Source organism: Homo sapiens, chromosome 3, assembly GCF_000001405.40.
Source record: "Homo sapiens chromosome 3, GRCh38.p14 Primary Assembly".
NCBI lineage: Eukaryota > Metazoa > Chordata > Mammalia > Primates > Hominidae > Homo > Homo sapiens.
This window is the reverse complement of record NC_000003.12, coordinates 40,626,282-40,652,700: the sequence shown is the minus strand read 5'-3', so window position 1 is coordinate 40,652,700 and position 26,419 is coordinate 40,626,282. Positions and strand designations below refer to the sequence as shown.

The 26,419-nt window shown below is 42.6% G+C and overlaps 1 long non-coding RNA gene across 3 annotated transcripts; it reads right to left on the bottom strand.

Moving 5' to 3' along the window:
* Nucleotides 1–7,255: 7,255 nt before the first annotated feature.
* On the bottom strand, nt 7,256–25,060 carry LOC124906229 (uncharacterized). 3 transcript variants are annotated; one of them, XR_007095880.1, is made up of 3 exons: nt 24,782–25,060; nt 8,287–13,299; nt 7,256–7,625 (listed from the first exon to the last, which is right to left on the bottom strand). It is a non-coding gene; the product is annotated as an uncharacterized LOC124906229 (long non-coding RNA). The 3 variants fall into 3 exon arrangements; XR_007095882.1 differs by lacking the exon at nt 7,256–7,625 and having other exon boundaries at nt 8,035–8,684; nt 8,911–13,299; XR_007095881.1 differs by lacking the exon at nt 7,256–7,625 and having other exon boundaries at nt 8,035–11,422; nt 13,183–13,299.
* Nucleotides 25,061–26,419: the final 1,359 nt, after the last annotated feature.

Here is a 26,419-nt window from a genome sequence, read left to right as displayed (position 1 = left end):
CATCCTGGCTAACATGGTGAAACCCCATCTCTACTAAAAATACAAAAAAACTAGCCGGGCATGGTGGCAGGAGCCTGTAGTCCCAGCTACTCGGGAAGCTGAGGCAGGAGAATCGCTTGAACCCGGGAGGTGGAGGTTGCAGTGAGCCAAGATCATGCCACTGTGCTCCAGCCTGGGTGACAGAATGAGACTCCTCTCAAAAAACAAACAAACAAAATCGTTCTCTTAACTGCTCCTGATGCCCTTTCTGATGCTTTCTTTCCATCATTTAAATTCACGTATCTGTTCAACAGGCAGCCCTTAAGGGCCTGCTGCATGCCGGGTGCCTGGGGCTGTGGATACAGAAGCTCAGGGACCTAGTCTTAGCCTTGGAGGTGCTCGCATCAGCTGGAGCATCAGGGGAACACAGACAGGGCAGTCAGTCAGTCTCAGGGCAATGAAGTGATTGCATCAGCGGTGGTGGGGTTGGGGTGAGTGCTGTTTGGGAACCACAGGTGTCTCTGGTTCGAAACCTGAAGGGCAAGGGGCAGTTGTAAGCTTTGAGGCTTTGCTAAGGAGTTTGTGCTTTAAGTGCAGAAAAGTGAAGGGATTGATTTTCATTTTAGATCACTCTGGGTGCTAGGAGAAAAATAGGTGGAAGTAGCGGGTGGGGCCAGACTGGAGACAAGGCCAGAGTATAAGTGGCTGGAGCAGAAGTTATCAGTGCCCCACTCATATTCCCTCACCCAGATCACTGAAGTGCCTACTGGTCTCTCTTCCAGCCACCAGTGCTGGCATCTCTTTGCCTGACGGTCATCTCTTGTCCACTGGAATTGTCTTCACTTCCCAAAAAAACTACGTGCACACAAATTCTTTCCCAGGGTGGATTGCTGTAGGAACCCAAACCAGGAAGGTGACTAACAGAGAAACATTTTCTAAAAGTGGTTTTGATGCTGAGGAGGAGAGGGGAGGCACTGGACTCCACAGGAGAAGGAAGGCTCTGGAGTTCACAGGGGATAAAACTCACCAATATCTCCTGTTTCATTCTGTTCTGCTACAGTAACGCGAAGGACCAAGTGGCAACTGGCAGAACCCATCCCAGCCAACACACATGTCATCATTCGGCTCCTCAACACTGACTGGAGCATTGAGATTGTGGGGAGAGTCTCTGGAGCACAAGGTCCTGCCTTAAGCAGCCTCTGGCACTCTCTTCTAGCTGATGTAGCAGAAGAATCCTTAGTTCCTATATTACCAACACCTGACACCTTCCTGGTCTCAGGATCCATTCTTAAGGGCAGAAACCAAGTTCTAGAAGGAATTCAGTGTCAAAAAAAAGAATTGCCAAACTCCATCATTTGATATTCATTCATCTGCTAATTAAAACTATAGTAAAATTTATTGAGGGCTTCTTGTGTGCCAGGCATCCTGGGAGGCCTTATGGATATGATCTTGAGCAAAGCTAGAGTTTCCCTTCTCCTCCTGTCCAGATGGATTGGCAGTGGTTACTTCACTGTCTGGATTCCCTGAGCTGTACTTAGTTGTGTGTAGTGAAGGTAGACCCTGTCATCTTCTCAACATGAACATTTTCTATTCCTATGGCTCCAGGTAATGAAAAAAGACTAGTCATTCAATATCATAGAAAAATTAGCAAATGACAGTTCATGAAAAAACCAATGACTTTTAACCATATGAAAAGATTCACAAAGCACATATAATAGAAAAGTTATCAGCTCATCAAACATTGAAATGGTGATTATCACACTGTGTTGAGGAGGGTGTTGAAAAACAGGCACTATCATATATTACTGTAAGAAGTTTAAATTGTAAAATCTCTGTAAGTAAAATTTGGAAACCTCCTTCAACAATGTAAATGTATACTGCCATTTGATTCCAATTCTAGTAATTTTTCTTTAAGGTCAACTCACACTTGTGCAAAGTGACATATGTGTAAAGATGGAGTCACTGCACCATTGTTTGTCTTAGCAAAAGGGTAGAAACAAGCTAAACGGTAATCAACTTGAGAACGGTTCAGTTAATTATAATATATCCATCCAATGCACTAGTATAACAGCTGAAAAAAATAAGGAAGCTATTTATGTACTATAAGGAAAGATCTCCAAACTTTAGTGTTAAAATTTTAAGGTACACAACAATGTGTAAAACATCATGCTACCCTACACGCACACATACATACATTCACTTGTTTGCATATGCAAAAATATTTCTGAAGGATACACAGGAAATATCTGACATTGATTTCAAAGAAAGATCTGGATAGCTAGTGGATAGGTATAAGAAGGAGTTTTATTGTGTGTGTTCTAAATCCTTCTTTATCTTTTGAATTTTGAAGCATGTGAATGTATTGTCTTATTTTTGTATTAGAAATAAATAATAAAATTAAAAATAAATATATTTAATATCTTGAAAATAAATTCCCTTGGAGCTCTAGGATGTTAACTATACCGTGTCTCTAACTAGGTATTAGAGTAATAAATGCTAGCTGTTATAACAAACAATTCTGAATGTCAGTAGCTTAAGATAATATAAATAGCTCACATCACAGGTGGATACAGGTGAGGCACTCCCTTCTAAGCAATTCAATTCTGTCTGGTGGCTCTGCCATCATGGTCTTTGAAGTCATGGTTTCACCCATCTGGCAGATGAATTAAGAGATAATTTGAGAAAGCAAACTGAAGACTTACCATCCCAGCACAGAAATGACACTCATCATTTCTGTTCACATTACTTCTAGACAGAATTAGTGATATGGCCTTATCTAGATACAAGAAGGCTGGGAAATGTGGTATTCTTGTATGCCCAAGAAGAAAACAAAATGGTTCGTGAAACACATAACATGATCTCTGCCACTAAGGATAATCTTAGGCCTTTATGATGACTGCACTAAGATTCTAGAGAGTCTGTTGGTCACTGCCTTAGTTGACCCCTTACATCTATTGACTTTTGCTGCATAAAAAATTATCCAAAACCCAATGGCTTGAAATAACGATGATTTATTTAGCTCACAATTCTGTGGGTTGACAATTTGAGCTGTGCTCAGACGAGTGGTTCTTCTGGTCTTGACTCACTCGTGCCTCTGCAATCAACTCCCAGGCCAGCTGGAAACTGGCTGATACAGCATAGCCTCAGCCAAGACAGCTCATCTCTAGGCAACATGATCTCCATCATCCAGCTTGCTAAACTGGGCTGGTCAGTCATGTGATGACTGAGCAGGATTCCAAAAGGGTGTGGTGCAGAGTACCTAGCCAGTCAATCCAATGGGGTTTCTGTGTAATTAATAACATCTACCCGCTTATCACTGGGTGTTAAGATATTTAACATGGGAATGGTTTGGAAATAGTTAAAATGCTATACAAATGTAAGGAATTATCACTTTGATTATTGATAGCAGATTAGTGAGAGCAGAGGCTGCAAGGTGTCCCAAGGCCTGTGGTCAGAACAGGCACAGTGTCACTTCTATCACATACTAATGGTCAGCTTGAGCTACAGGGTTGTCTCTGACTAAAAGGGGGAGGAAATAGACTCCATAGCTTGATAAGAGGCTCTGCAAAGTCACATTGTATGGGGATGTAAATACAAGGAAGGAAATGATCATGGCCATGTTTGCCATCCACCATAGTTCTGTCAAAGGTTTTTTTGGGGAAAATTGATTCACATCCATGTCTAGGACTTCTTTGGAAAACTTTTTAGTGGAATTGATGAAAAAGACAGCCTTCTGCTACAAAAGGCCATACGGGGCCACCTCTACAATCCCTGATATCCAAACCCAGTATCTATACAGCTAAGTCATGGGTGCCAAAGTAAACCAAGGACACTGCGCAGATGACAAAAGAACAGATGACTTAGGGTCAAATTTGCTAATGATAAAAATTATCAATGCTTAGAGTCAGAATTGTCCTTAGAGATCCTTTAATCTACAGGTTTTTAGATTTGTGCTCCACGGAACAATGAGGACTCCCAGAAGGTGATTCACAGATTCACTGAGGAGAAAGGCAAACACCAAATAGCAGTGCAGAAGAACTCTGGGCCTCCCCACACTACCTCAACAACAACATCCACAATTTTTTATAACAAAGAAGCCATTGACTTTTATTGCAAACATCCTGCTACTCCTTATACAAATGTTTTCCTAGAATTGCACTGTGGTTATTTGGATTTATTCAACTTTGACCACCCAGTATCTTTAGGGGAACCAATATCTGTTGAGTGCCTACTAAACACCAAGCACTGTGTTAGGTCTTTCAGCATAGAATCTGATTCTCTCTGCCAAAAAGCTTAAGGGCCTTTCAGATTTCTTCTCCATGTCTGCCTTTATCCTGGACACCTACTTGCCAATGCCCAAGTTCCAAGTCTCCATCATAACCGCATTCAAGGTCCTTTCCTGCTATAGTGAACATCAACATGCCTTATAAAGCCAAGCACCATCTGGTTTTACACTGTCCCAGTCAGCTCTAGCCCACCCACCTAGGTCTCCAAGACCCCTCCAGGTTTGAGTACGAGGAGTCCTCCAGTAAGTTCCCAATGTTCCCACTTTCCAAGTACAACCATAGCATTTCTTGGCTAACAACTTCTCCAGGCCAACTTGATATTAACAACATACACTCCAGTCAGAAAGCAGGGCTATTTCTCTTCAAGCCTGGTCCTCTTTGACTTATATGACATCATCTTGTTTCTGCAAAGTCTATTTCTAGATGAGAAATTATAAAAAGGTTAATAGGAAATGACTTAAATCTTTATTTTGAAACAAAAATCTCACAATGCAACATGAGGTCAGTTGCTACAAGACAAATTTGTACCATCTGATCATCTAAAATTCTATTCTTGGTTCTGCTATCAACCCAGCTAGAAGTATTTATTGAGACACTTTGTCTCCTTGAGCCTTTTATTCCTCCTCTCCTTGTTCTGTTCCCAATGGGAGTGGGCTACCAGCTGCCCACCACCTCTCTAGACTTCTAACTCCCAGGCCGGCTAGGTAGAAGTGCTGTTGAACAAGAATGCTAAGCATTAATAGTAATCTCTTCATCCCAAGAGAATGTTGCGACTGCTTGGCTAATTCTAAGGTAACTGACTGACACTTGTTATCTGTTGGGGCTCCTTAAAGACCAGAAGTTAGGACCCAGTTCTAATTAGCTGGCAGTGGGGCAGAGTATCTAGCCAGTTAATCCAATGGAGTTTCTGGTACATTAATACCATCTACCCCCTTATCACTGGATGTTAAGATATTTAATGTGAAAAAGATATTTAATGTGAGAATGATTTGGAAATAGTTAAAATGCTATACGAATGTAAGGAATTATCACTTTGATTATTATGACACCCCATCTCATTTTTCCCCTATTTCAGAATGCAAGAATACTCTCTAGTTGAGTCTAAATTAGAAGAAGCAGTAAGAGTTTACACCAGTCCCTCCAAGTAGTCTTCTGGTGGCCAAAAACCAGAGCAGGCAGCACTACAGATGAGCCCAACCTGACAGGACTTTTTCTTAACCACAGACAAAGAGGAGCTGATGGTGTGAAGCTGAGAAAACACTGCCTCATGAAGATTACTCCAGCTTGTATGTGACATCCAAGGGCAAAGCTGTACTCTTCAGCCAGGAAATCAAAAATATGTTGCATACTGTGGCCAGAGATGTTTCAAAGTACTGGGGAGTCAAAGACATGAGCATAAAAAGAAAAATGCCATTGCATCCCTGGCAGCTAGCACAGCACTCAGTACATAGCATGCACCATCCTAGATACACAGAAAACATTGGCTGGCTGGCTGGATGGATGGATGGATGGATGAATGGACGGATGGATGGGAGAAGAATGAAAGAACAAGCATAAAGATACCCCCAAAGGCTGGGCACTGTGGCTCACGCCTATAATCCCAGCACTTTGGGAGGCCAAGGCAGGCAGATCGCTTAAGGCCTGGAGTTCAAGACCAGTCTGGCCAACATGAAGAAACCCTGTCTCTACAAAAAAAAAAAAAAAAATTAGCCAGGCACGGTGGTGCATGCCTATAATCCCAGCTACGTGGGCAACTGAGGCACAAGAATTTCTTGAGCCCAGTAGTGGAGGCTGCAGTGAGCTGAGATTACACCACTATACCCCAGCCTGGGCAATACAACGAGCCTCTATTTCAAAAAAAAAAAAAAAAAAAAAAAAAAAAAAACTCCCCAAATGTGCCTCTATTTTAGGAAGAGATGTCTCCCCACCGAAGTGATTAGAAACTGCCATTTCAACAAGTACCAAGGCAAACTTTGCTTACGAACAGCTGTTTATGACCCAACATTAGCCACAATGCCATGCTAGCTTAAAGCATGACTTTCTACAAAATTTTTAAAAGGCTTCCCTCTCAGAGGATGTTTAGGAAAGGGCACCTGCTCTGATCTGAAACTGCCAGGGCCTACAGCTGGATTCCAGTGCCTACTCACTTCTTCTGCCATGTAACTTTGTACAATGTACAAAATGAACAACTGGGTGAAGTGGTTTTGCTTAGTTATATGATGAAGCAAATGCTAATACTATGGGAGAAGGCAGAATGTGGCTCTCTGGCTTGCCAGGCCCCCTTCTCTGGCCTCCTCCTGGGCTGGTGGAGCAGGGCGTGTCAGCCACTGGCCTTCGGTGACCACACACAGAGATGTTCTGGCACAGGACCAGGTTGAGCTCATAAAGCCAGAGGAAACAAATCCTGTGTAATCTTCACCCAGATGAAGATCAACAGCACTCCCATTACCCCCAGAGACTTCTCTAATGACCCATTCATCAACACACCCTCCACACCTCCATCTTCCTTGGCAGACACTATTCTGACCTCTGTCGCTATATATCAGCTTTGTCTTTTCTTTCATTGCATAAAAATAGAATCATACAGTAGGTTCTCTTTTGTGTCTGGATTCTTTAACTCAACACAGTGTGCTTGAAATTAATCCATGTTATTGCGAATAGCAATAGTTCATTCCTTTTGGTGCTGAGGAAGATATTCAAATGGCCAGGTCACATGTAATAAAATGCTCAAAGTTGTTAGCCATCAGGGAAATACAAATTAAAACCACAATGAATTACATCTGCATACCCACAAGAATAGCTAAAACCAAAGATGCAATACCAAGCATTGATGAGGATGTAGTGAACTGTAACCCTTGGACGCCACTTGTGGGCATGTAAACTGGTAAAAAACCATTATGGAAAACTGGTGATCAATTTCTAATAAGCATTCACCTATTATATGACCTGGCAAAAAATGAAAACACAAATGCACAAAAAGACCTGTACAATAATGTTCATAGTAACTTTATTTATAAAAGTCCCTAAGTGTAAATAGCTGAAATGTCTATCAATAAAAGAATGAATAGATAAATTGTATATCCAAATAATGGACAAGTCATTCTCACCCTCTATGGTGCTTCAGTTTATGGAAAAAATAATGTGTATGCCACACAGAGGGTTATTAGATGAATAATGTGGAAAGTGGCTTACAAATACAAGATTTATATTTGGTTTTGTAGCTTTATAAATCAGAAAAAGACAAAGAAAAGGTAGGCTTGAAAAAAAAAAAAAAGACACAAATCAATGTGTTGTAGGCTGCCAACTTCTAAGCCTGCTCAAATTTCTCATCTTCCTGGATCCAGCTGCCATTTCTCTGACCTATTGGAAGCAAGAAATAGTTAGGGACAGCAAGTAAAACCATTTTTCCTCCTCCCAATAAAACATGGTAACCAAGAAGGTTTCCTTTAGAATTTTAACTTAAAAACAAACAAACAAACAAACAAACAAAAAAACAGCCAAATGGTGGGTGCAGTGGCTCATGCCTGTAATCCTAGCACTTTAGGAGACCAAGGCGGGCAGATCACTTGAGGTCAGGAGTTTGAAACCAGCTTGGCCATCATGGTGAAACCTGTCTCTACTAAAAATACAAAAATTAGCGGGGCGCCTCTAATCCCAGCTACTCTAGAGGCTGAGACAGGAGAATTGCTTGAACCTGGGAGGCGGAGCTTGCAATGAGCCGAGATTGTGCCGCTGCACTCCAACCTGGGCGACAGAGTGAGACTCCATCTCAAAAAAAAAAAAAAAAGCCAAATTTCCCATACACGTTTAATCTGCTCAACTCAGAAATCTTAAAGTATCTATTTCTGCATCCTTCCCATAATCTTTATTCTGTTTCAATCAGCTAGCCACCTCCAAACTCTGGAAACAAGCAGGGAAAGAATCACATATACCCATACACACACACACACACACAACACATACACACACACACACAAACATGCACATAAACATAGACATGCACATATGTTGCCTTCTCTACCTAGGAATATATGGAAGTCCACATATTTTCTATAGCTCTGCACAATAAGCATAAAGTGATGTGTCCCTTGATAGCAAACATGCTAGAACATATACATCCAAGGGAGCCTTCCCAAAGTGAGGAACTTCTAGTCTTATTCTGATGATGCTGTTCTTGCTAAAAACAAAAAACAAAAAACAAACAATAAAAAAACCTTTTTGGGGTTTTTGGAAGCCATGTTACATGAAAAACTGTGAGAAGAACAGAGGCTATAGAACCTGGAGGAGAAAAGCCACAAAGGCTTACAGATGGGGAAACTAAGGTTGAGTTACTTGTCCAAGATGACACAGCCAGTAAGGGCTGGTGGCTCAATTTGAGCTCAGGCAGTCTGCTGTTGATCTGCTTTACCCTCGACCCTCCTAGAATAGAATGGGACAGACAAATAATGAGAAATGATAATGCAACCCCGGTGCTCTGGTAGAAGAGTACTGGAGTATAGTGGATGCTCTGAGGAAAGAGTGCTCCGTGGGGGTTAGGGAGTGATAGGTGTCAGGAAGGACTTCATGGAAGAGCTGCTGTTCACAAAGAAGGGACTTTAGAAGCTGATTTAGCTCTTTTAAGATCCACCAGCTTTTATTTTCATACCTTCTTTCAAGGTAGGTTCAGAAAATTCCAGGTGGGATTTGTAACGTTCTGTTCCTCAGTCACTATCAATACCCTTGACCTGGTACTTCTCTTGTAGTGGGTGGAGATCTTGGGAGCAGCGTTGGCAAATGGGACCTCTACAGGGAAATAAGTAAGCTGTCAATGTCTTCTTCCCTCTGCTTCCCAGACTCCTGAAATCCATAGTCAGATGTTTCCTTAACAAATGGTGGTCCAAGAAGAGAGAGAGACAGACAGAGAGCGAGCGAGAGAGAGAGAATGAATGTGTGCGTATGTGTTTTTTTGTGTGTGTATGTGTTTTTGTGTGTGTGATGGAAAGGAAACAGGGAGGGAGACCGAGGCCTGGAAGCCCATCTCTCCCCCAGCCTCAGAGCATCCAGCTCGTGCACACAGGACCAAAGCTGCCTGGTCCTTTGATCGGGACCCCACGCTGTGCCTTGTTCAGGGAATTTTTTAATTCTCTTTCATTTTATTGAGTGGCTTCCCTCGCCACCTCCCATCCCTGAGTCAGGTCTTAGGATTATTGGGTCCTTCTCTTCATTGATTTGTTTTTCTGACCTTTGTAGTAGATACAGAAATATATGGATGGAACAAGAAAAGAAGGAAGAAAGGGAACGGGGAGGGAGCCTGAGCAGCCTTCCTCTGGAAGGGAGGGTGTATGGTGAGGGACTTGGCTATGGCCACATTTTACAGGGAAAAAAAAAGCAAGTGGGATGGCAGCGGCTTGGTGCCCAATAACGGAAGCCAGGCTGGGAAGGAAAGGTTCCTGGCCTGAAGGAGCTGGCCACTGATGAACAGGGTAAGGCCACCACCCTGTGTCTTCCCAGAGGATGGCGCTATGGACCTCTGTGCCTCTATGCATTTGCTTTCTGTTGAAAAGACTCCTACATCAGCTATGTTTTTCATTCTTTCAGTGAATACCTACAGCACCCATTCCATGCTACGCTCTGCACTAGGAGCCAAGAATGCATGAGCTCTTTTCTTTCCCTCTCTCTGAGCCTATTGTATTAAACCTCATGTCTTCAAGCCAACCACACCTGTGCAACCTCCATTGTCATCACTGAGAAGAGGCAGGAAATGAACATTCGTGGAGTACCCACTGCCCAGCACTGTGAAAGCATTTTATTTGTATTACAGGGTACTTGGCAAGACTTTTTTCTGTTGCTCCAAAAACAGAAGCTGGGATGCACACCTGAGTCACCAACTGGAAAGTAGTGCTGGATGAGAAATGATTCCTCCCGAGAGGTGTGAGTGCTGTTCCCATTTAGAAGACAATGGAAAGGGCTCTGTATCAGTGGTAAAGATCTGAGATTACTGCAAGATGGGAATGCCCTGTGTCCTGTGTCCACCCTAGCAGGGCATACTCCTGAAGAGGAGGTACATGGCAGAGAAAAGCCCAGAACAACCTGCACCTCAGCATTTTGGTGAGGCTGATGATGTGATTCCCCCAAAAGTCAAGCAACATCACCTAAAGTGGCTGCACTTGACTTATCTTGCCTCTACTCCACCCAACAGGGCTGCCCACCAGTCAAAGGGAGGCAGTAGTGAAAGCTGAGTGGAAGTTGAAGAGGTGAATATCCATCAGGGAATTGACACAGGGCCATTCAGAAAATCTAGACACGCACACTGCAAGGAGGTCTAGCCTTTGAACTCCTGCCACAGAGGGCATCAACAACCAGTCATTGCTGGCCCAAGAACCACCACCATCCAACAAAGGGAACATCAGAGATGGGCACAGTTATATAAAGAGATGCTTGTCCTTTTCCTCTTCCTTCTACCAGAAAACCACCCTGGAGGGACCAAGCCCTAAAGAAGGAGTAGGTACTCCAAGCTTGCCTGGGAGGAGGGAAGTGATGTAGATGAAATTTCAACTGAGTTTGCAAGTTAGCAAGTCCCGTGAGCAACCCATCCCATATCCCCTCACCCTTACTTTTCGGTACACCCAGGCCTGACTTCCAACTGCCGACATCTGGATCTCTTTGCCTGCAGGCTTCTTCTGGCCACTGAAGCCCTCTGTGCCCACAGGGAACTGCTGGAGAATTAATAGACCCTAGAAACAGCTCTCATCCATTGATAGATGGGTATTGGTGTATAAATACCCCAGCTCCTCTACTTAGGTAGGATAACTCTGAGTCTCTTGTTCTATGCTACATTCATTATTTTTTGGTGCAAAACAATTTACGCCCAAAATATGGCAGCTTAATATAACAATAACTTCACTATTTTACACTTTCCTTGGGTCAGAAATTAAGGAGCAACTTAATTTGGTGGTTCTGGGTCCAGATTGCTCATGAGATTGTAGTCAAGATGTCTTCTGGGGCTGCAGCCAACCAAAGACTTGACGGCACTGAACGATCTGCTTCCAAGATGGCTTATTCACGTATCTGGCAAGTTGGTGCTGGCTGTTGGCAAGAGGCCTCAGCTCATGACCACATGGACCTCTCCATAGGACATTTTGAGTCTCCTCATGATCTGTGACTGGCTTCCCCCAGGGCTGGTAATCCAAGAGAAAGAGAGATCGAAGTGGGAAGAGCAATGTCTTTTATGACCTAGCCTCAAAAGTCAGATACTGCATTGATTATCTATTGCTACAAAACAAATTACCCCAAGACTTGGCAGCTTTAAAAAATGATTAACTCATAATTTCTAGGGGTCAGGAAATCTGGAGACAGCTTATCTAGGTGCCTCTGATTCAAGGTTTCTCTTGAGGCTGCAGGCTCTCTCTCAAGGTGCTGGCTGAGGCTGCAGGCATCTCAAGGCTCAACTAAGGGAGGATCTACTTCTAGGCTCACTCCCCTGGCTGTTGGCAGCCTCACTTCCTCCACCACATGGGTCTCTCCATAGGGCAGTTCACAAAACGGTGGCTGGTTTTTCCTCGGATCCAGTGAGGAAAAGACCAAGAGAGCACAAACAAGAAGAAAACCAGGGTCTTTCTGTAACCTAATCTCACAATTGACATTTATTACCTTGACCATATTCTATCGGCTAGAAGTGACTCGCTTATTATTGGTTATAAGTGGCCCATGTTCTTGGGGAAGGGATTATACAAGGGTATGACTACCAGGAGATAGGGATAACTGGGGCCATCTCAAGGACTGCTGACCACAGACAGCATGTTCTATTGGCCAAACAAGGCACACACATGGTTCGTGTGGGAGGGGATTAAACAAGGGTATGAATACAGTAGGCGAGGATTGCTGGGGCCAACTTGAAGGCTGGTTCCCACAAAACTATTTCCCAGTGTTTCCCAGGGAAATTAAGCAACTGTTGATAATGCACCCTTTAATGTCCCCCTTTCCTTTCCAGGTTCACTTCTCTTCTTCCCTGGTCTTTCCTGGCATCATCTCCCAAATAAACCACTTGCATATGAGCCCTTGTCTCAAGGTCTACCTCTAGGAGAACATAGAGTAAAACTTTAAACTAGACTTATATAAAAATGTGTGGAACTAATACACCAAATTCATTTCTTACCCTGGAACACAGCAAAAATTTGAAAGCCATTGTAGTAAGCGCTGCATAATTTCAGAGCAAGAGTGGTTTTACTTAATCTGATGAAATCTAGGAAGACTAGGTCTTAAAGGAGATTTGGAAATAGGAAAAATCAGAGTACATTGTATATCCACAAACAACAATGTTCAAAACTGGGGCTGTTAGTTCTTGAGTGAATTCTCAACTCGTCTTTTGGAATTACATCTTTATTTCTACCTGCTCATCACTCTATTCAAATTAGTAAGGGCCTTGTGTCAAGATGCCCGTACTCTGCCTGAGCTCCAGCCAAGCCTTATGCCCAGCCAGTACTCTATAGTTTCATGAGGTCAAATTGCTCTGTGACAAAATGGTAGAGATGAAATGCAAAAACGTTCATAGCACTGGGGAGGGGTTTGGGATCCCAGGAGTAGGCCAAGTTGCTTGAAACAATGGCATATTTTTCAAAACTCACTTTGAAACTCACTTTAGATAGGCAGGTACCAAATGGACTCTTGACCTCTAAGCACCAAAAAAATGCCGAGGAGAAATCAATGCCTTCCAATGCACTCAATCTTGGGTCTATCAAGGGCTGGCTAGAGAAGCTTAAATCCAAATTAATTACTCAGAAATCTCTAGTTCAGAAGTTGGGCCACAGACATGCTCATCAGCATGCAACGGCAGTGCCATCCCCACAGCAAGAAGAAAAGAAACCAGGATAATGAGGACACTAGATAAAAGGGAGACCATGGAGGAGGATCTTAATTGTATCTTAATTGAGTCACACACTTTCTCCTTCATGCAGATCCTGTCCCTGAAGTCAAAAAGAGAGTGGCTTCTCTGCTGGGGCGCTTCCTGTGCCCCAGCCATGGCTGGCATCCAAGGTCAATATACTGTGGCAATCTACTAAAAAACAAATGTATCAGTTAATTGTTGCTGCAATAATGCTATATAACAAATCACCCCAAACCTTAGTAACAATCATGCATTTTCATTTATGCATCCACAGATCTGTGGGCCTATGTGTCTAGGGGTCAGCAGGAGGTTGGCTGATGAGACTGGGTTTGGCTGAGTGGCTCTGCCTCAAACTGTGAGTGTAGCTGGTCTTGGCTCTCATTGAGGTTTGGCTCATATCTACTCCACAAGTATCCACTCCCAGGACCAGACTAAGGGGAATGTTGTTACCCAGGGGTGCCTCTCTGAGGCACAGAGAAAAAGCAGGAACATCCAAGGCCTCTTAAGGCCTAGGCTTGGAAGTGACACATCCTCGCTTCTGCCCATGTATCATTGGTCAAAGTCAAGGGGTGGGGAACTACCCACAAAGAGGCTATGTCAAGGGTGAGGAGGTAGAATAGGGTAAAGGATTTGGGGCCAATAATCCCTTGGACCAAAGCCTGAGTCTCACCTCCCAACCCAAACAGAAGCCATGCCTATAGGGACTCCGGAGTTCCAATCTATTTGTTAGATTTCTGATAAGTGGGCAGGACGAAGGTGAGAATGACACCTTGTGACCTCATCTGGCCACCACAAAAACTGTAGGACAGTGATGGAGCACACTGCCCACTTCCTCTACACTGCAGAACCAGTCAATGCGGACCATGGCACTCAGGAGCCTCCTGCATGGTCAGACTCAGTTATTACTGTTATGTGAAGAGGTGTGGCATTTCCTCTGACGTTAGAAGGCGAGGGTAATTGCAGGTTATGTGGTCATTCCCAGGGAAAGAAGAACAGGGCCTTTCTTCAAAGACATGTGTGCTACTCTACAATTAGGGAGGTTCCACAGCCATCAGTTTCTTCTACATTAGCTTTGGCCTATGTGGTTGACAGGCAAGGTGACTTTTGAAAAGGAAAAAATTCCCATTTCTTCTCTAAAAGTGAAGTAAAAAATAATAATAATAATAAGCCTTTTAACTTGGGTCTATCAAAAAAAAACAAAAACAAAAACAAAAACAACAACAACAAAAAAGCTATCCCAGACTGCTCCAACCTGCATAGCTTAGAGTCAGTCATGACAAAGGTACTTTCCTAGGCCCTATAAACCACTGGCTGGGTGTGCACAGGGTCACAGCACACAGACTGCAGCATCCCCTGCACTACGTGACCCACCCAGGGAGCAAGTGGAGGCTGAGTTCCAGACTGTACTCTGCTTGCCAAGCCAAACACCCAGACTAGGGACTGTGTTATTCTAAAGGAAGGGGCACCTTTGATAATTAACCTGCCACAAAAGACATCTTTTGGTAATTCACAGAAAGATGATTCACCACCAAGGGTAATTTATCTCTTTAACAGTCAGATGTTTGGCTGTCCCAGGCTGCCCAGAGGCTGCCCAGACCATGGGGCCTGGCATAGTGTGGTAAGTTGGATTACCTTTCCAACTCTTCCCTGACCCCATCACGTCCTTTGCCACATGACTCTGCAGTGCCCCATGTGACTCTGCAGTGTCTAAAAGAAGCAGAGTGTACGTCTTCACACCACTGACAATGCATTAGCTGTGTGACTTGCTTTGCCCAGTGGAATGTCAGTGGATATGAAGTGAGCAGGGGCTTTATTTTTTTTATTTCAATAGGTTTTTGGGGAACAGGTGACGTTTGGTTACATTAATAAGTTCTTTAGTGGTGATTTCTGAGATTTTGGTGCACCCATCACCCAAACAGTGTGTACACTACACCCAATGTGTAGCTTTTTATCCCTCACACCCCTCTCACCCTTTCCTCCAAGTCCCCAAAATCCATTGTATCATACTTATGCCTTTGCATCCTCATAGTTTAGCTCCCACTTATGAGTGAGAATATATGATGTTTGGTTTTCCATTCCTGAGTTACTTCACTTAGAATAATGGTCTCCAATTCCATCCAGGTTGCTGCAAATATCATTATTTCATTCCTTTTTATGGCTGAGTAGTATTACATGGTATACATATATACCACAATTTCTTTATCCACTGATTGATTGATGGACATTTGGGCTGGTTCCATATTTTTGCAATTGCGAATTGTGCTGCTATAAACATGCATGTGCAAGTATCTTTTTTGTATAATGATTTCTTTTCTCCTGGGTAGATACCCTGGAGTGAGATTGCTGGATTAAATGGTAGTTCTACTTTTAGTTCTTTAAGGAATCTCCACACTGTTTTCCATAGTGGTTGTAGTAGTTTACATTCCCACCAACAGTGTAAAAGTGTTCCCTTTTCACCACATCCACGCCACCATCTATTATTTTTTTATTATGACCATTCTTGCAGGAGTGAGGTGGTATCACATTGTGGTTTTGATTTACATTTCCCTGATCATTAGTGATGTTGAGCATTTTTTCGTATGTTTATTGGCCATTTGTTTATCTTCTTTTGAGAATTGTCTATTCATGTCAAGGTTTGCTCTTGCTGATTTGTTTGAGTTCCTTGTAGATTCTGGATATTAGTCCTTTGTCAGATATATATTGCAAAGATTTTCTCCCACTCTGTGGGTTGTCTGTTGACTCAGCTAATTGTCTCTTTTGCTGTGCAGAAGCTTTCTAGTTTGATTAAGTTCCATCTATTTATCTTCATTTTTGCTTTTGGGTTCTTGGTCATGAAGTCTTTGCCTAAGCCAATGTCTAGAAGTGTTTTTCCAATGTTATCTTCTAGAATTTGTATGGTTTCAGGTCTTAGATTTAAGGTTTTTATCCATCTTGAGTTGATTTTTGTATAAGGCGAGAGATGAGGATCCAGTTTCACTCTTCTACATATGGCTTGCCAATTATCCCAGCACCATTTGTTGAACAGGGTGTCCTTTCCCCACTTTATGCTTTTGTTTGCTTGGTCAAAGATCAGTCAGCTGTAAGCATTTGGCTTTATTTCTGGATTCCGTATTCTGTTCCATTGGTCTATGTGCCTATTTCTGTACCAGTACCATGCTGTTTTGGTGACTATGGCCTTGTAGTATAGTTTGAAATCAGATAATGTGATGTTTCCAGCTTTGTACTTTTTGCTTCGTCTTGCTTTGGCTATGTGGGCTCTTTTTTGGTTCCATATGCATTTTATAATTGTTTTTTCTAACCCTGCAAAGAATTATGGTGGTATTTAGATGGGAATTGCATTGAATTTGTAGACTGCTTTCAGCAGTCTGTTCATTTTCACAATATTGATGCTACCCATCCTTGCACATGGGATGTGTTTCCATTTGTTTGTGTTATCCATGATTTCCTTCAGCAATGTTTTGTAGTTTTCATTGTAGAGTTATTTTACCTACTTGGTTAGGTATATCCTAAGTCTTTTATTTATTTATTTATTTACAGGGATTGTAAAGGGGGTTGAGTTCTTGATTTGATTCTCAGTTTGATCACTGTTGGCATATAGCAGAGCTACTGATTTGTGTACATTAATTTTGTATCCTGAAACTTTGCAGAATTGATTAATCAGTTCTAGGAGCTTTTAGGAAGAGTCTTCAGGGTTTTTTAGGTATATGATCATATCATCAGCCAACAGCAATAACTTGACTTCCTCTTTAAGGATTTGGATGCCCTTTATTTCTTTCTTTTGTCTGATTGCTCTGGCTAGGACTTCCAGTACTATGTTGAATAGAAGTGGTGAAAGTGGGCATCATTGTTTTGGTTCCACTTCTCAGAGATAATGCTTTTAACTTTTCCCTGTTCAGTATAGTGTTGGCTGTGGGTTTGTCATAGATGGCTTTTATCATCTTGAGGTATGTCCCTTCTAAGCCAATTTTGCTGAGGGTTTTAATCATAAAAGGATGCTGGATTTTGTCAAATGCATTTTCTGTGTCCATTGAGATGATCATTTGATTTTTGTTTTTAATTCTGTTTATGTGGTGTATCACATTTATTGATTTGCCACTGTGGTTTGTTTGTTTGTTTGTTTGTTTGTTTTGTTTTTGACAGAGTCTCACTCTGTAGCCCAGGCTGGAATGCAATGGTGCGATCTCGGCTGACTGCAATTTCCGCCTCTCAGGTTCAAGCAATTCTCCTGCCTCAGCCTCCTGAGTAGCTGGGATTACAGGTGCCCACCACCATGCCCAGCTAATTTTTTGTATTTTTAGTAGAGATGGGGTTTCAATATGTTGGCCAGGCTGGTCTCGAACTCCTGACCTCAGGTAATCCACCCACCTCGGCCTCCCAAAGGGCTGGGATTACAGGCATGAGCCACCGTGCCTGACCTGATTTGCATATGGTAAACCATCCCTGCATCCCTGGTATGAAACCCATTTGATCATGGTGGGTTATCTTTTTGATATGCTGTTGGATTCATTTAGCTAGTGTTTTGTTAAGGATTTTTACATCTATGTTTATCAGGAATATTGGTCTGTAGTTTTCTTTTTTTGTTATGTCTTTTCCTGGTTTTGTTATTAGGGTGTTGCTGGCTTCATAGAATGATTTAGGGAGGATTCCCTCTTTCTCTATCTTGTGGAATAGTGTCAATAGGATTGGTACCAATTCTTTGAATGTCAGATAAAATTCAGCTGTGAATCTGTCTGGTCCTGGACTTTTTTTGTTGGCAATATTTTTTATTACCATTTCAAGTTTTTACTTTTTCCTGGTTTAAACTAGGAGGGTTGTATATTTCCAGGAATTTATCCATCTCCTCCATGTTTTCTAGTTTATGCATGTAAAGGTGTTCATGGTAGCCTTGAATAATCTTTTGTATTTCTGTGGTATTAGTTGTAATATCTCCTGTTTCTTTTCTAATCGAGCTTATTTGGATCTTCTCTCTTCCTTTCTTGCTTAATCTTGCTAATGGTCTACCAATTTTGTTTATCTTTTCACAGAACCAGCTTTGTGATTTATTTATCTTTTGTATTTTTTTGTTTTAATTTCATTTAGTTCTGCTCTGATCTTCATTATTTCTTTTCTTCTGCTGGGCTTGGGTTTGGTTTGTTCTCATTTCTCTAGTTCCTTGAGGTGTGACCTTAGATTGTCCACTTGAGCTCTTTCAGACTTTTTGATATAGGCATTTAAGGCTATGAACTTTCCTGTTAGCACTGCCTTTGCTGTATCCCAGAGGTTTTGATAGGTTGTGTCACTATCATCATTCAGTTCAAAGAAATTTTTAAATTTCCATCTTGATTTCATTGTTGACCCAAAGATCATTCAGAAGCGGATTATTTAATTTCCATGTATTTGCATGGTTTTCAGGGTTCCTTTAGGTGGGGTTGATTTCCAGTTTTATCCCACTGTGGTCTGGGAGAGTACTTGATATAATTTCAATTTTCTTAAATTTATTGAAACCTGTTTTGTGGCCTGTTATATGGTCTATCTTGGAGAATGTTCCATGTGCTGATGAATAGAACATATATTCTGCAGTTGTTGGGTAGAATGTTCTGTAAATATCTGTTAAGTCCATTTGTTCTAGGGTAGTGTTTAAATTCATTGTTTCTTTGTTGACTTTCTTTCTTGATGACATGTCAAGTGCTGTCAGTAGAGTATTGAAGTCTCCCACTATTATTGTGTTGCCATCTATCTCATTTCTTAGGCCTAGTAGTAATCGTTTTATAAATTTGGGAGCTCCAGTGTTAAATACATATATATTTAGGATTGTGATATTTTCCTGTTGGGCAAGTCCTTTTATCATTATATAATGTCCCTCTTTGTCTTCTTTAACTGCTCTTGCTTTAAAGTTTGTTTTGTCCGATATAAAAATAACTACACCTGCTCACTTTTGGTGTCTATTTGCATGGAATATCTTTTTCCACTCCTTTACCTTAAGTTTATGTGAGTCCTTATGTGTTAGGTGAGTCTCTTGAAGACAGCAGATACTTGGTTGGTGAATTCTTATCCATTCTGACATTCTGTACCTTTTAAGTGGAGCATTTAGGCCACTTACATTCAATGTTAGTATTGAGATGTGTGGTACTATCCCATTTATCATGCTATTAGTTGCCTGAATGCCTTGGGTTTTTTTTTTAATTATGTTTTTGTTTTACAGGTCCTGTGAGATTTATGCTTTAAGGAGGTTTTATTTTGGTGTATTTAGAGAATTAGTTTCAAGATTTAGAGGCTCTTTTAGTAGTTCTTGTAGTGCTGGCTTGGTAGTGGCAAACCCTCTCAGCATTTGTTTGTCTGAAAAAGACTGTATCTTCCCTTTATTTATGAAACTTAGTTTCACTAGAAACTAAATTCTCGACTGATAATTATTTTGTTTAAGGAGGCTAAAGATATGGCCCCAATCCCTTCTAGCTTGTAGGGTTTCTGCTGATAAATCTTCTGTTAATCTGATAGATTTTCCTTTATAGGTTACCTGGTGCTTTTGCCTCACAGCTCTTAAGATTCTTTCCTTCGTCTTCACTTTAGAAGCGTGATGACTACGTGCCTAGGTGATAAACTTTTTGCAATAAGTTTCCCAGATGTTCTTTGAGCTTCTTGTATTTGGATGTCTAGATCTCTAGCAAAGCCAGGGAAGTCTTCCTCAATTATTCCCTCAAATATGTTTTCCAAACTTTTAGATTTTTCTTCTTCCTCAAGAACACCATTATTCTTAGGTTTGGTCATTTAACATAATTCCAAACTTCTTGGAGGCTTTGTTCTTTTATTTTTATTCCTTTTTTTCTTTGTCTTTGTTGGATTGAGTTAATTCAAAAGCCTTGTCTTTAAGCTCTGAAGTTCCTTCTTCTACTTGTTTTATTCTATTGCTGAGACTTTCCAGTGTATTTGGCATTTCTCTAAGTGTGTCTTTCATTTCCAGAAGCTGTGATTGTTTTTTATTTATGCTATTTCACTGAAGATTTTTCCCTTCATATCTTGTATCTTTTTTTATTTCATTAAGTTGGACTTCACCTTTCTCTTGTGCCTCCTTGATCAGCTATATAATTAACCTTCCTGAATTATTTTTCTGGCAATTCAGAGAATTCTTCTTGGTTTGGATCCATTGCTGGTGAGCTAGTATAATCTTTTGGGGGTGTTAAAGAACTTTGTTTTGTCATATTACCAGAATTTTTCTGGTAGTGTCTCTTTTAGGTAGACTAGGTCAGAGGGAAGATCTGGTACACAAGGGTTGCTGTTAAGATTCTTTTGTCCCATGAGGTTTTCCCTTGATAAGGTGTTCTCCCTCTTCCCCTAGGGATGTGGCTTCCTGAGAGCTGAACTGCAGTGATTGTTATTTCTCTTCTGGATCTAGATATTCAGAGGAGCTACAGGGTTCTGGGCTGGTACTGGGGAGTGTCTGTGCAGAGTCCTGTGATGTGAACCATCTTCAGGTCTCTCAGCTGTGGATACCAGCACCTGGTCCATTGGAGGTAACAGGGGAGTGAAGTGGACTCTGTGAGGGTCCTTCATTGTAGTTTTGTTTATTGCACTAGTTTTGTGTTGGTTGGCCTCCATTTAGGAAGTGGTGCTTTCAGGAGAGCATGAGCTGCAGTAGTATAGGAAGGATCAGGCAGTGGGCAGAGCCATAGAGCTCCCAAGAGATTATGTCCCTTGTCTTTGGCTACCAGAGCAGGTAGAAAAAGTCTGTCAGATGGGGGCAGGGTTAGGCATGTCTGAACTCAGACACTCCTTGGGTGGGGTTTGCTGCAGCTGCTGTGGGAGATGGGGGTGTGGTTCACAGGCCAATGGAGTTATATTCCCAGAGGATTATGGCTGCCTCTGCTGTGTCATGCAGGTTGCCAGGGAAGTGGGGGGGAACAGCAGTTACAGGCCTCACCCAGCTCCCACACAGCCCAAAAGGCTGGTCTTACTCCCACCACGTCCCCCCAACAGCACTGAGTTTATTTCCCGGCAGCAGATAATCAGGGCTGAGAACTTGCCTTAGGCTACCAGCCTCCCAGCTGAGAAAGCAAACAGGGCTTTCAGGTTTTACACTTCCACTCCTGCTGCAGCTTCTATGTTGTGTCTACACTCCTGGTTCACCATGTCCCTGAGATTCTGTCCAGAAAACTTTGCGTTGCATTGAAATTGTTACAAAGTTCAGCTGGAAGTTTTCTTCTCCTTGTGGTCTTTTCCCAGTTCCTCTGGCAGCCTTCCCCAAGGATCGCGGTGAGATAAAGTCAGAAATGGCTTTCCTGGGGAGCAAGAGTGCCCACAGGGATCTTCTTGTTGCTTCTTCTACCCCTACATTTCACTCAGCTTTCTAAATTTGTCTCAGCTCCAGGTAAGTTCAAATCCTTATCCCATGATCTGGACCTTCAGGTACCCCATTGAGTGTGTGTGCTCAGGGACGGGTGATCCCCCTTTCACACTTTCACACTTTGAGCACTCACAGTTTTTCAGCTGTCTCCTGGGGCCTGCAGCAGCAATCTGCTTTCTTCAAAGGGTCTATGGATTCTCCGGCTTTCCTGTATGTTCCTGCAGTAGTTCTTGGAGCAAAAGTTCTTGATGTGAGTCTCCACACGCTGCTCTGTCAATCCAAGTGGAAGCTGCAAGTTAGTCCTGCCTCCTATCTGCCTATCTGTCGTTTTCTTTGTATGACTATGAAGTGAGCAGGGACTTTAAATGTGCTTGCTTTGCCTGGCTTGGCTTCTTGAGCCTCTGCCATCTGACATGAGAAGGAGATGTTTCCAGGAGCCTCTAGTATCAGAAGGAGGAGCCCCCAGCAACCCACAGTCAGAAACAGGGACACATTCACCGTCCCACAGAGCAATAAGCAAAAACAATCAATGTGTGCTGTTTCTTATGCTGTATCATTGTCATTAAAACTGGCTGGTATACATTGTGATTGACAGAGTGAGATAAACTCTGCCCTCAAAACAAAAAGCCTAGGTAGTCCAGCTAAGAAAAAGCATCTAAAGGTGAAAAGAAACTCTAAAAGCCAAATAGATATTTCACCAGAGAACTGAGCAGAGAGGCAAGCTCAAGGTGGAATGAAAACTGAGGACAACAGACCAGGGTAATTGGGCTAAGAAGATAAGTAAGAAATTAGGTGTTTTCACACTGCTATAAAGATACCACCTGAGACTGGATAACTTATAAAGAAAAGAGATTTAATTGATCCACAGTTCTGCATGGCTGGGGAGACCTCAGGAAACTTACAATCACGGTGGAATGCAAAGGAGAAGCAAGGACCTTCTTCACAAGGCAGCAGGAGGTGGGGCACAGGGAAGAGCCACACACTTACCAAACAATGAAATCTCGTGAGAACTCTATCACAAGAACAGCATAGTGGAAATCGCCCCCACGATCCAATCACCTATCCCCATGTTCCTCCCTTGACATGTGGAAATTACAATTGGAGATGAGATTTGGGTTGGGACACAGAGCCAAACCATATCATTCCACCCTCGGCCCCTCCAAAATTTCATGTCCTTTTCACATTTTAAAACCAGTCATGTCTTCCCAATAGTCCCCCAAAGTTTTAACTCATTCCAGCATTAACTCAAAAGTCCAAATCCAAAGTCTCATCTGAGACAAGGCAAGTCCCTTTCGCCTATGAGCCTGTAAAATCAAAAACAAAGTTAGTTACTTCCAAGATACAATGGGGGTACAGGCATTGGATAAATGTTTCCATTCCAAATGGGAGAAATTGGCCAAAACAAGAAGCCACAGGTTCCATGCAAATCCAAAACCTAGCCAGGCAGTCATTAAATCTTAAAGCTCCAAACTAATCTCCTTTGACTTCATGTCTCACATTCAGGGCACACTGATACAAGAGGTGGGCTCCAAAGGCCTTGGACAGCTCCACCCCTGTGGCTCTACAGGGTACAGTGCCCACAATTGCTTTCATGGGCTGATGTTGAGTGCCTGCCACTTTTCCAGGCACACAGTACAAGCTGTCAGTGAATCTGCCATTCTGGGGTCTGGAGGATGGTGGCCCTCTTCTCACAGCTCCACTAGGCAGCACCCCAGTGGGGACTCTGTGTGGAGGGTCCAACCCCACATTTCCCCTTTGCATTGCCCTAGTAGAAGATCTCCATGAAGACTTTGCCCCTGCAGCAGACTTCTTCTTGGACATCCAGGCATTTCCATACATCCTCTGAAATCTAGGCAGAGGCTCCCAAAGCTCAACTCTTGTCTTCTGTGCACCTGCAGGACCAACACCACACGGAAGCCACCAAGACTTGGGGCTTGCACCCTCTGAAGCCACAGCCCAAGCTGTACCTAGGCCCCTTTAAGTCATGACTAGAGCTGGAGAAGCTAGGATGCAGGGCACCATGTCCCAAGGCTGCACAGAGCAGCCCTGGGCCCAACTCAAGAAACCATTTTTCCCTCCTAGGCCTCTGGGCCTGTGATAGGAGAGGCTGCTGTGAAGATCTCTGAAATGTTCTGAAGACATTTTCCCCATTGTCTCAGCTATTAACATTTGTCTTCTCGTTACTTATGCAAATTTCTGCAGCAGACTTGAATTTCTCCCAAGAAAATGCGTTTTTCTTTTCTACCACAAGGTCAGGCTACAAATTTTCCAAACTTTTATGCTCTACTTCCCTTTTAAACGTAAGTTACCATTTCAAACCATCTCTTTGTGAGCACATACAACTGTACACTTTCAGGAAAAGCCAGGTCACATCTTGAATGCCTTGCTACCTAGGAATTTCATATGCCAGATGCCCTAAGTCATCTCTCTCAAGTTCAAAGTTCAACAGATCTCTAGAGCAGGGGCAAAATGCCACCATTCTCTTTGCTAAAGCATACCATGAGTCACCTTTGCTTCAGTTCCCAATAAGTTCCTCATCTCCATCTGAGACCACCTCAGCCTGGACTTCATTGTCCATATCACTATCAGCAATTCAGTCAAAACCATTCAACAAGTCTCTAGGAAGTTCTAAACTTTCCCACATCTTCCTATCTTCTTCTGAGCCCTCCAAACTGTTCCTACCTCTGCCTGTTACCCAGTTCCAAAGTTGCTTCCACATTTTTAGGTATCTTTATAGCAGTGCCCCGGGTACCAATTCTCTGTATTAGTCCATTTTCACACTGTTATAAAGATACTTGATAATTTATAAATAAAAGAGGTTCAATTGATCCAGTTTTGTATGGCTGAGGAGGCCTCAGGAAACTTATAATCATGGTGGAAGGTGAAGGAGAAGCAAGCACCTACTTCACAAGGCAGAAAGAGGGGGAGGCTAGGGAGGAGCCACACACTTATCAAACAACCAGATTTCATGAGAACTCTATTAGGAGGACAGCAGGGGGGAAACTGTGCCTATAATCCAATCAACTCCCCGCAGGTCCTCCCTAGGCACATAGGGATTATAATTCCAGATGAGATTTGGGTGGGGACACAGAGCCAAACCATATCAGATGCCTAGCCAGGTTTAGGACCTGAGCCTTGAGGACTTTCCATAGCATGCCTGAGGCTTGCAATGTGAGTGAAGAGGGGCCATTGAGGATTCCAAGTGTGCTCAGATACTGAAATGTCAATCTGGGGGTCCCAAAGTGGGTGCTGCCCACTGCAGCAAAGACCACTTTGCTGGGAACCTCGGGAGAAAAAGGGAGTCTAGAGCAGCATCATGTGCTCCACAGTCCATACCTTCCTTCAAGCTCAGAGAACTGCAATGTGCTCCAGTTTAGCCCTCTGAGGAGGGCAGACATTTTGTCTGCAGGAGTCTCCACTGAGTCCATTGGTTTTCAAGGACAACTGCACACCAGGCAGCGCTGCTACCTCACTGCTTTGTATATCCTCCATTGAAGCTGTATCATTTGGCATTTGCAAATACTGATGCTTTTCTCACCACTTGTAGCAATGAACTGAAAAACATTCAGACTTTAGTGACTTGTGGTAGGGGACGTTGGAAAGGAGAAAGGAAGAGAATTTCTCTACTATACTGCTTCCAACCCAAAAACAAGTAGCAAAGTAAGATGCTTAATTTGCAAAGGTGATTTAGGAAAATGAGCCCATGTGCAATATGTGTCATGCTTGGAGAGAAAAATAACAAAATGCTAGTCTCTGAGTGGCCAGGTACAGCTGTCCCAGGCTCCAGGGCCCTGAAGACAATGTCACCTGGGTTCACCCCCATTTAAATCTGTTTACAACAGAAGAAATAGCTTTACTAAGAACTTTTTGAATGACAATATTCTCTTAATAGTGAGTGGACCTATACCATATAAAGGAAACTAACTAAGGTTTAGTAAAATGATGCATATGAACTCATCACTGGGACTTTCACGAGTCACTGTTAACCCCTCAGCAAACTTCTTGGTTTGACACATGCAGGATCAGAAATCAGAGAGGTGACATGATAAACCCACAGTCACCCAGCTAGTAAGTGACAGAATCTGAATTCAAATCCAATGCTGGTCTGACTCTAAAATGTATATTCATCCCATTATATGGAACTGACATTAGTCTTAATATTTTTTATAAAGCAAACATAAAATCTCAATTTAGAAACACAGATGTGTCACAAATATAACTTTCTTTAGTTTTCTTTTACCCCATTTAATTTATCTTCCAAGCTCATTCCACCATGGTGATGATAACTTAAACTCAGGCAATGGCTTGACTCTGCCCTTCCCAGGGTTGTGCAATAGGCTCTTGGGATGCTCCACACCAAGGCCCCTCAAGCATCTGGTTTCAGCCCAGTTGTGGAAGACAGGCATGCTGTTTGCACCTAAGTCAAGCACATGCTGCCATGCATCTGTGCTTTGCTGCCTCAGTGACAATGTATCCTAGCCTCCTTATTCTCTGGGAGGACAATTTTTGAGGCTCATTCTTCAGAGGATTCCCAGAGAAACTGAGCTCCAGTTGCTCACAGTGATAACTTCCTCATGAATGCCTCCTTTATTGACTTATCCTCCTTCCCTCAGTCCCTCATCCCACTCCCTGACTCCTCCTTGGAACTCCTCCTGGGAACTCCTCCCAAATAAACTACTTGCACATGAATGCTTGTCTCAGACTCTGCTTTCAGGGAAACTGTAACTAGTACAGTTTAAATTCCTAAGAACATCCAGAGGTCCAAGGCATAGCAAGGGCAGGATGGGACTGAACAACTGATCAGCAAGTCACCTGTCCCCTTAGGTATCAGATAAGAAGTCCTCATCCCATCGTCCCCATTCACCAGTCTGTATAAGTTGTTTTTTTGAGTTGTTCCTTGTTCCTGTCCTATAACTCCCTCAGACCCCCAAACCTGTTTCTATTCCCTATTTCTATGCCATGCTACATGGAATG